At 42.9% G+C, this 16,400-nt stretch overlaps 1 annotated feature.

Moving 5' to 3' along the window:
- Window positions 15,294-16,115: an enhancer, noted in NCBI's record as "H3K27ac-H3K4me1 hESC enhancer chr5:74196099-74196920 (GRCh37/hg19 assembly coordinates)". NCBI's record gives its function as "activates a minimal SCP1, AML or CMV promoter by ChIP-STARR-seq in primed H9 embryonic stem cells {active_cell/tissue: H9 hESC(primed)}" and the evidence as "EXISTENCE:reporter gene assay evidence [ECO:0000049][PMID:30033119]".

Here is a 16,400-nt window from a genome sequence, read left to right as displayed (position 1 = left end):
CTTGCTGTTAAGGTAGCTGTGACAACAGTTCTGGCAAAAGTGCAAGTCTACTGGGAATTTCTAGAAATGTTCTACTTTCCTGATCAGAAACCATCTTCCCTTCTCACTTCATCTTCCTACCTGGAATGCAGCTTTGGGGGTGTACCTGGATCCTTGATAACTTCTTCAAGCTGCTGCCTCTTGCTCTGTACTGTTCATTTCTCTTTGGTTAAGCTACTATGTTTGGGTTTTTCTGCTACCTACAGCCAAACACCATCCTGATATCACTGGTTTTACAGAAATTCAGGTAAAGAAGCTGTGAGAATGTGGTCACCCACTCTGGATAAAGATGGTGAAATGAAGTCTTCACAGCTAGAAGTCAGGAAACTTCCTGTCTTATCTGTATAACTTCATGCAGTGAAACTAGGGGTGACAGGGTCAATTCACAAATTATTAAGAAACTCAAAAATTATTAAGAAAGCAGAATCAATAGAATTTGGTGATTAATTGGATGTGACCTATTGGGAATTATCATCAAGAGATGACTTTTCTCGCCTTCTAAGTTCCTGAACTACAAATTCCACTTTCCTCTTACTTATTTTTTCCAACTCAATGTTTTTTCTTTCTCTCAGCATTTTCCATTCCCCATTTCAAGAAGCTGGCCAGTTTTAAATGTGTCTTTGTTCAGGGGCATTTGTGTAGTTGGACCTGAAAGAGATGTTGCACAAGACAGCCCCCTCTCCTGGCTTTTATTTTGAAAAATCTTCATTTGTCTTGGGAGTATGCTGGTCATTTTCTAGGGACAGGAGAGTGACCACTCACTGCCTTCAAGCAAGGAATCAAACCCAATGAGATAAGCTAGAGGGATTTGCTGAGACTAAAACAGGGAATGAGGGAATATAGCCTCCTCTGGTGTTTCCAGCTTCAGTGAGAGATCCCAGCTGGTGGTTCAAGCTGCTAATCTAGGACTCACCTTCACTCACCCCTCTCCAGTATTTCCTCCCACATTTAGCCCATCACCTACTCCTTTCTATTTTATTCTCTGAATATCTCCTGTGTCCCTCCATTTCTTTCAAACTCCACTGCCACAATCACCCAACCATACTCCATAAAATGATCTTTTCAAATTTGGAGTATTTTATAAAGTATGCAAATATTTTAATGGCCTCCTTTTGCTCTTAAAATAGACCAAAGTGTGGCTCATGCCTGTAATCCCAGCACTTTGGGAGGCCAAGGCAGGTGGATCACTTGTGGTCAGGAGTTCAAGACCAGCCTGCCCAACATGGCAAAACCCTGTCTGTACTAAAAAATACAAAAATTAGCCAGGTGTGGTGGCACATGCCTGTAGTCCCAGCTACTCATGAGGCTGAGGCAGGAGAATCGCTTGAACCTGGGAGGTGGAGGTTGCAGTGAACTGAGATTGCGCCATTGCACTCCAGCGTGGGAGACAGAGCAAGACTCCATCTCAAAAAAAAAAAAAAACACACACACACACAAAAAAAACGTAGACCTCCAGTGACTGACCTCTGTCTAGTTCACCAGCCTCACTTCTCTATTCTCTGCCCCAACTCTAGCCATGGTGACCTTGTAGCAACCAGAATGCTCTTTCCCTCCTCACAGAATTTCCCCTAGCTGCCCTCTGGTCAGATCTACTTAACTGCCACACCCATTCTGTGCATACACCACACACACACACACACACACACACACACACACACACACACACCCCTTGGCCACCTTCATTCATTCTTCAGGTTCCAGCCCAAATGTCATTTCTTTAGAGAAGCCTTCCCTGACCCCCCACCCTACTCCCCTAAATCAGGGACCCTGCTTTAAGTCATGGGTTTCTTTTTTTTCTTTTTCTTTTTTTTTTTTTTTTTTTGAGTCAGGGTCTCACTTTGTTGCCCAGGCTGGAGTACAATGGCACAATCACAGCTCAAGGCAACCTCAACCTCCTGGGCTCAAGCAATCCTCCCACCTCAGCCTCCCAAGTAGCTGGGACTATAGGCACACACCACCATGCCTGGCTAATTTTTGTATTTTTTGTAGAGGGGTTTTGCCTTGATGCCTAGGCTGATCTCAAACTCCTGGGCTCAAGCAATCCACCTGCCTTGTCCTCCCAATATGTTAGGATTACAGGCATGAACCACCAAACCGGACCTATGGGTATCTTTCACAGTATGTTTTCATGATATCTTTGTGTGATTATGTGATTGTTGTATCCCCTATCTATCTATCATGAGCTCCACATGAATGGGACTGCACGCATTATTTTATCTCCAGGGTCTGGTAGTGCAGACCTTACTGCCCAGGTTAGGTACATGGGCAGTAAGTCCCTGATGGAGATTTGTTGAATACCAAAAAATAAGAGAAGGAAAGAGAGAGTCTAAAATGATTACAGGCTTCTGGTGCAAGCAACCAAGTGAATTGTGAAATGAGATTCAGTTCAATTCATTTTAATTCTTTTATGAAATAAAGCACAAGAATATATGCATGCTTGATACAGAGAGTTGAAAGAGGAACATTACCCTCTCGCTCTCTAAGGATTCCCACTGGCTTCTCTGTGGATGGAGATTGCCATTCTATTATAACATGCAGCACACCCAGGCAGAAATAAACTGTCAAGGCAGAATTCTGAAAGGGCAGGCTGAATTCGCTTGTTTAGGGGATTTAATCTAGACCATAGATAGATAGAATGATTCCTAGAAAGGTTACCTTGAGATTTTATGAAGATGACAAAAAACTTATTGATATTTAAAAACATTAAGTGGACTTTGGATAATAATGATGTGTCAGTGTAAACACATCAATTCTAATAAATTATAACAAATTATAAAACTCTGGTGCCAGATGTCAGTAGTGGGGATAGCTGAAGAGGGGTTGCAGGGCCTTATAGGGGCTCTCTGTCTTTTTTGCTCAATTTTGTTGTGAACCTAAAACTGCTCTTTAAAAAAAAATTAAAAACCAATGTGTTAAAAGTAATTTACATAAAAAGATAAAATCATTATTCTTATTCAGAAAAAAAATGAACATGTTAAAGATTTTGCTTAACTCAGAATTCAGGAATCAGTCTAGTATTAAAACTGGTTCATGTGCTCGCTTTGGCAGCACATATACTAAAATTAAAATCGTTTCAAAGGAGAAGTCAGGCTGGGTGCTGTGGCTCACACCTGTAGTGCCAGCACTTTAGGATGCAGCAGTAGGAGAATCACTTGAGGCCAGCAGTTTGAGTCCAGCCTGGGCAACATAGTGAGACCCTATCTCTTCTAATAAAAAATAAAAAGGCCAGGCGCAGTGGCTCACACCTGTAATCCCAGCACTTTAGGAGGCTGAGGTGGGCAGATCACAAGGTCAGGAGTTCGAGACCAGCCTGGCCAAAATGGTGAAACCCCCATCTCTACTAAAAATGCGAAAATTAGCCAGGCATGGTGACGGATGGCTGTAGTCCCAGCTAGCTACTCGGGAGGCTGAGGAGGGAGAATCGCTTGAACCCGGGAGGCAGAGGTTGCAGTAAGCCGAGATCGCACCACTACACTCCAGCCTGGGCAACAGAGTGAGACTCTGTCTTAAAAAATAAAATAAATAAAAAATAAACTTAAAAAAAGGAAAAGCCAAAGAGCAGACACATTTATTTAGCCGGAATATTGCAATGAATGTGCAAATGCAGGCAACACTCACTTCCTCCACAGTGGGGGAAAGAAGTCAGTTGCACTTCTGCTGGACAGGACAGAATTTGCATGTCTATAGACAAAAACCATTTTGCATTTGTATCTGCTACCTATAAGATACAGTGTTGTACAATAACTCCCAAGGAATTAGAATCTGCCATGTAGAAAAGCATGCTATAATTTGCCACTGAAGCACACGTCTTCCTCTACACATACGTACAACAAAGCATTAAGGCTGGATGGCCCCAAGGTAAGGAGAATTCACTGTGTCTGCACAGACTTTGTGTAGTCTAATCAGGATGGTTTCTTGGGCGTCCCTCAGAACTTCTATCTGACATGATCTGATAGATGTAGGAAAATTGAACAGTGCCCTGACATTTCTGCTAAAGCATTGTATTTACTCCCTGGGCAGCAGCAAGGCACTAACTTCTTCGTTCTGGACTTATTTATTTTTTTAAACAGCTTTGCTGGGGGTATAATTTACATACCATAAAACTCACTTGTTTTGATTTGCTAGCAAGATGACTGAATAGGAACAGCTCCAGTCTGCATCTCCCAGTGAGATCGACACAGAAGGCAGGTGATTTCTGCATTTCCAACTGAGGTACACAGTTCATCTCACTGGGACTGGTTGGACAGTGGGTGCAGCCCACAGAGGGCGAGCTGAAGCAGGGTGGGGCATCACCTCACCTGGGAAGTACAAGGGGTCGGGGGATTTCCCTCCCCCAGCCAAGGGAAGCCGTGAGAGACTGTACTGGGAGGAATGGTGCACTCTGGCCCAGATAATGCGCTTTTCCCATGGTCATCGCAACTGGCAGAGCAGGAGATTCCCTCCGGTGCCTACACCACCAGGGCCCTGGGTTTCAAGCACAAAACTGGGTGGCCATTTGGGCAGACACCAAGCTAGCTACAGGAGTTTTTTTTTTCATACCCCAGTGCAACCTGGAATGCCAGTGAGACAGAACCATTCACTCCCCTGGAAAGGGGGCAGAAGCCAGAGAGCCAAGTGGTCTGGTGTGGCGGGTTTCACCCCAGTGGAGCCCAGCAAGCTAAGATCCACTGGCTTGAAATTCTTGCTGCTAGCACAGCAGTCTGAGGTCAACCTGGGACACTTGAGCTTGGTTGGGGGAGGGGCATCCACCATTGCTGAGACTTGAGTGGGTAGCTTTACCCTCACAGTGTAAACAAAGCCACTGGGAAGTTTGAACTGGGTGGAGCCCACCACAGCTCAGCAAGGCCGCTGCAGCCAGGCTGCCTCTCTAGATTCCTCCTCTCTGGGCAGGGCATCTCTGAAAAAAAGGCAGCAGCCCCAGTCAGGGGCTTATAGATAAAACTCCCATCTCCCTGGGACAGAGCACCTGGGGGAAGGAGCAGCTGTGGGCACAGCTTCAGCAAACTTAAACATCCCTGCCTGACAGCTCTGAAGAGAGCAGCGGATCTCCCAGCACAGCGTTTGAGCTCTGATAAGGGACAGACTTCCTCCTCAAGTTGGTCCCTGACCCCCATGTATCCTGACTGGGAGTCACCTCCCAGTAGGGGCCTACGGACACCTCATACAGGAGAGCTCTGGCTGGCATCTGGCAGGTGCCCCTCTGGGATGAAGCTCCCAGAAGAAAGAGCAGGCAGCAAACTTTGCTGTTCTGCAGCCTCTGATGGTGATACCCAGGCAAATAGGGTCTGAAGAGGACCTCCAGCAAACTCCAGCAGACCTGAAGCAGAGGGGCCTGACTGTTAGAAGGAAAACTAACAAAAAGAATAGTATCAACATCAACAAAAAGGACATCCACTCAGAGACCCCATCCAAAGGTCACCAACATCAAAGACCAAAGGTAGATAAATCCACGAAGATGGGGAGAAACCAGCACAAAAAGGCTGAAAATTCCAAAAACCAGAACACCTCTTCTCCTCCAAAGAATCACAACTCCTTGCTAGCAAGGGAACAAAACTGGATGGAGAATGAGTTTGACGAATTGACAGAAGTAGGCTTCAGAAGGTGGGTAATAACAAACTCCTCCAAGCTAAAGGAGCATGTTCTAACCCAATGCAAGGAAGCTAAGAACCTTGAAAAAAGGTTAGAGGAATTGCTAACTAGAATAATCAGTTTAGAGAAGAACATAAATGACCTGATAGAGCTGAAAAACACAGCACGAGAACTTCGTGAAGCATACACAAGTATCAATAGCCAAATCGATCAAGTGGAAGAAAGGATATCAGAGATTGAAGATCAACTCAATGAAATAAAGCAAGAAGACAAGATTAGAGAAGATAGAGTGAAAAGAAACACACAAAGCCTCCAAGAAATATGGGACTATGTGAAAAGACCAAATCTACATTTGATTGGTGTACCTGAAAGTGATGAGGAGAATGGAAACACGCTTCAGGATATTATCCAGAAGAACTTCCCCAACCTAGCAAGGCAGGCCAACATTCAAATTCAGGAAATACAGAAAACACCACAAAGATACTCCTCAAGAAGAGCAACCCCAAGACAAATAATCATCAGATTCACCAAGGTTGAAATGAAGGAAAAAATGTTAAGGGCAGCCACAGAGAAAGGTCATGTTACCCACAAAGGAAAGCCCATCAGACTAACAGTGGATCTGTCAACAGAAACCCTAGAAAGCCAGAAGAGAGTGGGGGCCAATATTCAACATTCTTAAAGAAAGAATTTTCAACCCAGAATTTCATATCCAGCCAAACTAACCTTCATAAGCAAAGGAGAAATAAAATCCTTTACAGACAAGCAAATGCTGAGGGATTTTGTCACCACCAGGCCTGCCTTACAAGAGCTCCTGAAGGAAGCACTAAACATGGAAAGGAACAACTGGTACCAGCCACTGCAAAAACATACCAAATTGTAAAGATCATCAATGCTATGAAGAAACTGCATCAACTAACAGGCAAAATAACCAGTTAGCATCATAATGGCAGGATCAAATTCACACATAACAATATTAACCTTAAATGTAAATGGGCTAAATGCCCCAATTAAAAGACACAGACTGGCAAATTGGATAAAGAGTCAAGACCCATCGGTGTGCTGTATTCAGGAGACCCATCTCACATGCAAAGACACACATGGCTCAAAATAAAGGGATGGAGGAATATTTACCAAGCAAATGGAAAGCAAAAAAAGCAGGGGTTACAATCCTAGTCTCTGATAAAACAGACTTTAAACCAACAAAGATCAAAAGAGACAAAGAAGGGCATTACATAATGCTAAAGCGATCAATGCAACAAGAAGAGCTAACTAACCTAAATATATATGCACCCAATACAGGAGCACCCAGATTCATAAAGCAAGTTCTTAGAGACATACAAAGAGACTTGGACTCCCACACAGTAATAGTGGGAGATTTTAACACCCCACTGTCAATATTAGACAGATCAGTGAGACAGAAAATTAACAAAGATATCCAGGACTTGAACTCAGCTCTGGACCAAGCAGACCTAATAGACATCTACAGAACTCTCCACCCCATATCAACAGAATATACATTCTTCTCAGCACCACATCACACTTATTCTAAAATTAACCACATAACTGGAAGTAAAACACTCCTCAGCAAATGCAAAAGAATGGAAATCATAACAAACAGTCTTTCAGACCACAGTGCAATCAAATTAGAACTCAGGATTAGGAAACTCAATCAAAACCACACAACTACATGGAAATTGAACAACCTGCTCCTGAATGACTACTGGGTAACTAATGAAATTAAAGCAGAAATAAAGATGTTCTTGAAATCAATGAGAACAAAGACACAACGTACCAGAATCTCTGGGACACATTTACCAGAATCTCTGGGACACATTTGAAGCAGTGTGTAGAAGGAAATTTATAGCACTAAATGCCCACAAGAGAAACAGGAAAGATCTAAAATTGATACCCTAACATCACAGTTAAAAGAACTAGAGAAGCAAGAGCAAACACATTCAAAAGCTAGCAGAAGGCAAGAAATAACTAAGATCATAGCAGAACTGAAGGAGATAGAGACATGAAAAATCCTTCAAAAAATCAATGAATCCAGGAGCTGGTTTTTCAAAAAGATCAACAAAATAGATAGCTTACTAGTCAGACGTTGGGAACAAGCCCCCCAAAATCTGGCCATAAACTGGCCCCAAAACTGGCCATAAACAAGATCTCTGCAGCACTGTAACATGTTCATGATGGCCATAACGCCCACGCTGTAAGATTGTGGGTTTACTGGAATGAGGGCAAGGAACACTTCGCCCACCCAGAGCGGAAAACCACTTAAAGGCATTCTTAAGCCACAAACAATAGCATGAGTGAGCTGTGCTTTAAGGACATGCTCCTGCTGCAGTTAACTAGCCCAACGTATTCCTTTAACTCGGCCCATCCCTTCATTTCCCATAAGGGATACTTTTAGTTAATTTAAGATCTATAGAAACAATGCTAATGACTGGCTTGCTGTTAATAAATATGTGGGTAAATCTCTGGGGGCTCTCAGCTCTGAAGGCTGTGAGACCCCTGATTTCCCACTTCACACCTCTATATTTCTTTGTGTCTGTCTTTAATTCCTCTAGCGCCGCTGGGTTAGGGTCTCCCTGACTGAGCTGGTCTTGGCAGTCAGACTAATAAAGAAGAAAAGAGAGAAGAATCAAATAGATGCAATAAAAAATGATAAAGGGGATATCACCACTGATCCCACAGAAATACAAACTACCATCAGAGAATACTATAAACACCTCTATGCAAATAAACTAGAAAATCTAGAAGAAATAGATGCATTCCTGGATGCATACACCCTCCCAAGTCTAAACCAGGAAGAAATCAAATCCCTGAATACACTAATAACAAGTTCTGAAATTGAGGCAGTAATTAATAGCCTACCAACCAAAAAAAGGCCAGGACAAGACAGATTCACAGTGCAAATTCTATCAGAGATACAAAGAGGAGCTGGTACCATTCCTTTTGAAACTATTCCAAACAATACAAAAAGAGGGAATCCTCCTTAACTCATTTTATGAGGCCAGCATCATCCTGATACTGAAACCTGGCAGAGACATAACAAAAAAAGAAAATTTCAGGCCAATATCCCTGACGAACATTCATGCAAAAATCTTCAAAAAAAAACTAGCAAACCAAATCCAGCAACACATCAAAAAGCTTATCCACCACAATCAAGTTGGCTTCATACTTGGGATGCAAGGCTGGTTCAACATACACAAATCAATAAATGTAATCCATCACATAAACAGAACCAATGACAAAAACCACATGATTATCTCAATAGATGCAGAAAAGGCCTTCGACAAAATTCAACAGCCCTTCATGCTAAAAACTCTCAATAAACTAGGTATTGATGGAATGTATCTCAAAATAATAAGAGCTATTTATGACGGACCCACAGCCAATATCATACTGAGTGGGCAAAAACTGGAATCATTCCCTTTGAAAATTGGCACAAGACAGGGATGCCCTCTCTCACCACTCCTATTCAACATAGTGTTGGAAGTTCTGGCCAAGGCAATCAGGCAAGAGAAAGAAATAAAGGGGATTCAATTAGGAAAGAGGAAGTCAAATTGTCTCTGTTTGCAGATGACATGATTGTATATTTAGAAAATCCCATTATCTCCGCCCAAAATCTCCTTAAGCTGATAAGCAACTTCAGCAAAGTCTCAGGATACAAAATCAATGTGCAAAAACCACAAGAATTCCTATACCCCAATAACAGACAAACAGAGAGCCAAATTATGAGTGAAGTCCCATTCACAATTGCTACAAAGAGAATAAAATACCTAGGAATACAACTTACAAGGGATGTAACTCTTCCCTTGTAAGATGTGAAGGAACTCTTCAAGGAGAATTACAAACCACTGCTCAAGGAAATAAGAGAGGACACAAACAAATGAAAAAACATTCCATGCTCATGGATAGGAAGAATCAATATCATGAAAATGGTCATACTGCCCAAAGTAATTTATAGATTCAATGCTATCCCCATCAAGCTACCACTGACTGTCTTCGCAGAATTAGAGAAAACTACTTTAAATTTCATATAGAACCAAAAAAGAGCCTGCATAGCCAAGAAAATCCTAAGCAAAAAGATCAAAGCTGGAGGCATCATGCTACCTGACTTCAAACTATACTATAAGGCTACAGTAAGGCCAGGCACAGTGGCTCATGCCTGTAATCCCAGCACTTTGGGAGGCTGAGGTGGGTGGATCACGAGGTCAGGAGATCAAGACCATCCTGGCTAACACGGTGAAACCCTGTCTCTACTAAAAATATAAAAAAAGTAGCCGGGCGTTGCGTCGGGCGCCTGTAGTCCCAGCTACTTGGGAGGCTGAGGCAGGAGAATGGCGTGAACCCAGGAGGCGGAGTTTGCAGTGAGCCAAGATCGCGCCACTGCACTCCAGCCTGGGCGACAGAGCGAGACTCTGTCTCAAAAAAAAAAAAAAAAAAAAAAGTCTGCAGTAACAAAAATAGCATGGTACTGGTACCAAAACAGATATATAGACCAATGGAATAGAACAGGGGCCTCAGAGAAAACATCACACATCTACAACCATCTGATCTTTGACAAACCTGACAGAAACAACCAATAGGGAAAGGATTCCCTATTTAATAAATGGTGTTGGGAAAACTGGCTAGCCATATGCAGAAACCTGAAACTGGATCCCTTCCTTACATCTTATACAAAAATTAACTCAAGATGGATTAAAGACTTAAGCACAAGGCCTAAAACCATGAAAACCCTAGAAGAGGGGCCGGGTGCGGTGGCTCATGCCTGTAATCCCAGCACTTTGGGAGGCCAAGGCGGGCGGATCACCTGAGGTCGGGAGTTCGAGACCAGCCTGACCAACATGGAGAAACCCCGTCTCTACTAAAAATACAAAAAAATTAGCTGGGCATGGTGGCACATGCCTGTAATCCCAGCTACTCAGGAGGTGGGAGGCTGAGCCAGGAGAATCGCTTGAACCTGGGACGTGGAGGTTGCGGTGAGCCAAGATCGCGCCGCTACACTCCAGCCTGGGCAACAAGAGCGAAACTCGGTCTCAAAAAAAAAAAAAAGAAAATCCTAGAAGAAAACCTGGGCAATACCATTCAGCACATAGGCGTGGGCAAAGACTTCATGGCTAAAACACCAAAAGCAATAGCAACAAAAGCCAAAATTGACAAACAGGATCTAATTTAAGAGCTTCTGCACAGCAAAAGAAACTATCATCAGAGTGAACAGGCAACCTACAGAATGGGAGAAAATTTTTACAATCTATCCATCTGACAAAGGGCTAATATCCAGAATTGACGAAGAACTTAAACAAATTCACAAGAAGAAAACAAACAACCCCATCAAAAAGTGGGCAAAGGATATGAACAGACACTTCTCTAAAGAAGACATTTATGCAGCCAACAAACATATGAAAAATACCTTATCATCACTGGTCATTAGAGAAATGCAAATCAAAACCACAATGAGATACCATCTCACTCCAGTTAGAATGGCAATCATTAGAAAGTCAGGAAACAACAGATGCTAGAGAGGATGTGGAGAAATAGGAATGTTTTTACACTGTTGGTGGGAGTATAAATTAGTTCAACCATTGTGGAAGACAGTGTGGTGATTACTCAAGGATCTAGAAATAGAAATACCATTTGACCCAGTAATCCCATTACTGGGTATATACCCAAAGGATTATAAATTATTCTACTGTAAAGACACATGCACACATATGTTTATTGCGGCACAGTTCACAATAGCAAAGACTTGGAATCAACCCAAATGCCTATCAATGATAGACTGGATAAAGAAAATGTGGTACATATACACCATGGAATACTATGCAGCCATAAAAAAGGATGAGTTCATGTCCTTTGCAGGGCCATGGATGAAGGTGGAAACCATCATTCTCAGCAAACTAACAGGAACAGAAAACCAAACACCGCAGGTTTTCACTCATAAGTGGGAGTTGAACAATGAGAACACATGGACACGGGAGTGGGCATCACACACCAGGGCCTGCTGGGGGATGGGAGGCTAGGGGGTGGATAGCGTTAGGAGAAATGCCTAATGTAGATTACAGGTTGGCCGGGCATGGTGGCTCATGCCTGTAATCCCAGCACTTTGGGAGGCCAAGGCGGGCGAATCATGAGGTCAGGAGTTCAAGACCAGCCTCACCAATATGGTGAAACCCCGTCTTTACTAAAAATACAGAAATTAGCTGGGTATGGTGGTGTGTGCCTGTAATCCCATCTACTCGGGAGGCTGAGGCAGGAGAATCACTTGAACCTGAGAGGTGGAGGTTGCAGTTGAGCAGAGGTTGTGCCACTGCACTCCAGCCTGGGCAACAGAGTGAGACTCCATCTCAAAAAAAAAAAATTTACAGGTTGTTGGGTGCAGCAAACCACCATGGCACACATGTAGCTATGTAACAAACCTGCACATTCTGCACATGTACCCCAGAACTTAAAGTATAATTAAAAAGAAAATCTTAAAAAAAAAAGAAACTCACCTATTTTAAGTGTACAATTCAATGATGGTTAACAAACTTACAGACTGTTCATCACTGCAATCCAGTTTTAGAATATTTATGAATATTTGTATAATCCTAAAGAGAACCATCATGCTCGTTAGCAATCAACCCCTGTTCCCACTGCAGCTCCAAGGCCATCACAAATGTACTCTTTTTTCTCCATAGATTTGTCTTTTCTGAACATTTCTATAAAAGTGATCATACAGTGTGTGGTCTTTTGTGCCTGGTTCCTTTCACTCATAATTATTTTCAGGTTCATCTATGTTTTAGCATTTATAAATAGTTCAGTCCTTTCATTTCTGAATAAGTATTCCATTGTATGGATAGAACACATTGTTTCTCTATTCATCATTGGATGGATATGTGGGTGGTTTCCACTTTGTAGTTATTACGTATAATGCTGCTATGAACATTCATGTATAGATTTTTGTATAGAAATATGTTTTCATTTCACTGGGGTAAATACCTAAGAATGAAATTGCTGGATCATATGGTAAACATATTGCTTTAAAATGTTGATTTTATTTTTATCCAGGTATGGAGAGGCCAACAGATCAGGAGATGACTGCTCTTGAAAAGACAGACTGAGACAGTTCCCAGGACAGGAGAGTGTGTGCTCCACCATGCCAGGCCACATGGGGGAGCGGCAGGGTCAGTCGGGACAGCGGGAGCAAGAGCCTTTATTCTGGTTTCCCCAGGAACAGGTGAGGCCAGGTAAGCAGGTTTAGGATTGGCCAATTTGAACTGAACTCTGGGGCATAGAGAATATTTGTAATTATCTGGCACCCAGCCCTGAGGTGATTAGGGCAGGGGAATAGTGGCAAGATGTGTGAGAGCTCAACTGAGGAGGTAATTAGGAAATAGGCTTAGGATTCGTTGGTTTGCACATGGAAGATGAGTTGTTTGCTATTTCTAGGTGTTGGCTAGCCCTGGGAGTTGCAGTCTACACAGGATCTGTAAGGCCCCTGATGTCAAAACATCAGAATAAAAAGCCATGTTTAGTACACATGTTTAACTTTTTAAGAAACTGGCAAACTTTTATCCAAAGTAGCTACAACATTTTACTTTGTCTCAGCCATGAAGGAAGGTTCCATTTTCTCTACATCTTCACGAACACTAGTTATTGTCTGTCTTTTCAACTAAAGCCATTCTAGTAGGTGTGAAATGGTAGGCAGCTCATTGTGGTTTTAATTTGCAAATTTGCATTTCCCTAATAACTGATGATGTTAAGCACCTTTTCTTTTCTTCTTTTTTTTATTTTTTTATTTTTTTTAGATGAAGTCTCACTCTGTTGCCCAGGCTGGAGTGCATCGGTGCGATCTCAGCTTACTGGGATCTCCTGGGTTCAAGCAATTCTGCCTCAGCCTCCCGAGTAGCTGGGATTACAGACGTGTACCACCATGACTGGCCAAGCATCTTTTCATATGCTTTTTATCCATTCCTATGTCTTCTTTAGTAATGTCTGTTGAAAAATTTGCCCATTTATTTTAACCAGGTTGTTTGTCTTCTTGTTATTGAGTTTTAAGAATTCATTATATGGCCGAGTGTGGTGGCTCACGCCTGTAATCCCAACACTTAAGAGGCGGAGGCGGGCAGATTACTTGAGGTTAGGAGTTCAAGACCAGTCTGGCCAACGTGGTGAAACCCTGTCTCTCCTAAAAGCACAAAAATTAGCCAGGCATTCTGGCGTGGGCCTGTAGTTCCAGCTACTGGCGAGGCTGAGGCAGGAGAGTCACTTGAATCCGGGAGGCAGAGGTTGCAGTGAGCCCAAGATCACACCACTGCACTCCAGCTTGGGTGACAGAGCAAGACTCTGTCTCAAAAAAAAATAAATAAATAAAAAGAGTGCATTATATATTCTGCAATCAGGTATATCATTTATTTTATCATGGCATAACAGCTAGGTTCCAAGAAAGAGCATTGTAAGAGGCAGAAAGTAGAAGCTATCAGTCCTTGCAGGGCCTGGGCTTAATGACCAGAATGTCCCTTCTGCCACATTCTCTTGATCAGGGCCAGTTACAAGGTCAGCCCAGAGGAGAGAGGAGAAGGAAACTCCTCTTCTTGTTATCAGGAGCAGAATGCACATACACGAAGAACATGCATTGATGGTGGCCATCTTTGGAGACTGGCTGCTGCTACCCTTTCAAGTACTTAGAAATTCTAATATTCGTAAGACAGTAAACATGTAAGTATGGTGGATGTTAAGTTGTTTTAAATGGTCCAATATAATTTCTAAACTTATTAAAACTCTCTTACAACTCAACTCAAAATTCCAAATCTAAATCAATTACTCATTCATTCTAAATTGGGACCACAAAGCTGGTCTCTTAGATACTCCAATTTGCCAAATTTTCTTAAACACTACAGGGACTTTAAGTACCAAACATATACAGATCATTCTTTTTAGCAGACAGACTGTAAGGTAAGTGCCCGTGATTCCTTATCTCTTGGTATTCATGCTTTGCCACACTCCCTGCCCTTGAGTGTTGGCAGGACTGGTGATGGGATGTCAGTCCCTTGATCAGGTTGTATTATATGGAAAAGATGATGGGATGTCACTCCTGTGATTATGTTACGTTACGTTACGTTTGTTATGTTATGTTATGTTATGTTATGTTATGTTATGTTATGTTATGTTATGTTATATGAGACTCTGTTTCAGCAGACAGAAGTGAAATGCTCCTTGTGGGCCTGATGGAATAAGCAGGCATGTTGGAGAAGCCTGTGTGGTAAGGAACTGCGGACTCTTCTAGGAACCTGTGGATGCCTCTAGAACCTGATACAGGCCTCCAGCCAACAGCCAGCAAAAAGCCAGGGTCCTCAGCTGCAAAACAGCAAGGAATTGATTTCTGCTAACAACCTGAATGAGCTGGGAAGTGAATTTTCCCTCAGTTGAGCCTCTAGATCAAAATACAACCAGTAACTCGAGCACAGCTTTACAAGGGCCTGAGCAGAAGACCCAGCCTAGACTCCTCATCCACAGAAACTATGCAGTAATACACTTAAGCCACTGGGTTTGTGGTAATTAGTTATACAACAATAAAAAACTGATGTCCTTTTTTTTTTTTTTTTTTTGAGACGGAGTTTCGCCCTGTCACCCAGGCTGGAATGCAGTGGCGTGGTCTCGGCTCGCTGCAAGCTCCGCCTCCCAGGTTCATGCCATTCTCCTGCCTCAGACTCCGGAGTAGCTGGGACTACAGGCGCCCGCCACCACCCGTGGCTAATTTTTGTATTTTTAATAGAGACAGGGTTTCACTGTGTTAACCAGGATGGTCTCAATTTCCTGACCTCGTGATCCGCCCGTCTTGGCCTCCCAAAGTGCTGGGATTACAGGCGTGAGCCACCGCGCCCAGCCTAATAATGTATTTTTAATCTTAACATAAGAATATTAATATTATAGATGTAATATACTTTTTGTTTTTTTTGAGACGGAGTCTAGCTCTGTCCCAGGCTGGAGTGCAGTGGCAGGATCTTGGCTCACTACAATCTCTGCCTCCCGGGTTCAAGCTATTCTCCTGCCTCAGCCTCCCGAGTAGCTGGGATTACAGGCATGCACCACCATACCTGGCTAATTTTTGTATTTTTGTATTTGAGATGGACTCTCACTCTGTCACCCATACTGGAGTGCAGTGGCGTGATCTTGGCTCACTGCAAACTCCGCTTCCCAGATTCAAGCCATTCTCCTGTCTCAGCCTCCTGAGTAGCTGGGACTAAGCACGTGCCACCACGCCTGGCTAATTTTTGTATTTTTAGTAGAGACAGGGTTTCGCCATATTGGTCAGACTGGTCTTGAACTCCTGACTTCAGGTGATCCACCCACCTCAGCCTCCCAAAGTGCTGGGATTACAGGTATGAGCCACCATGCCCGGCCGTATACTTTATTTTTAATGCTAAATTCTAATTTTTCCAGAGTCAAATGATATCCATAAAACAATTATACCTGGCCGGGCACAGTAGCTCATGCCTGTAATCCTGGCACTTTGGGAGGCCGAGATAGGTGGATCACCTGAAGTCAGGAGTTGAAGACCAGTCTGACCAATATGGCGAAACCCTGTCTCTACTAAAAATACAAAAATTAGCCAGGCATGGTGGCACATGCTGGTAGTTCCAGCTACTCAGGAGGCTGAGACAGGAGAATGGCTTCAATCTGGGAAGCGGAGTTTGCAGTGAGCCAAGATCACGCCACTGCACTCCAGCATGGGTGACAGAGTGGAGTCCAACTCAAATAATAATAATAAATTTTTTTAATTAAGA

Source organism: Homo sapiens, chromosome 5 (genome assembly GCF_000001405.40).
Source record: "Homo sapiens chromosome 5, GRCh38.p14 Primary Assembly".
NCBI lineage: Eukaryota > Metazoa > Chordata > Mammalia > Primates > Hominidae > Homo > Homo sapiens.
The sequence above is the reverse complement of the archived record's forward strand: the minus strand, read 5'-3'. Positions and strand labels throughout refer to the sequence as shown.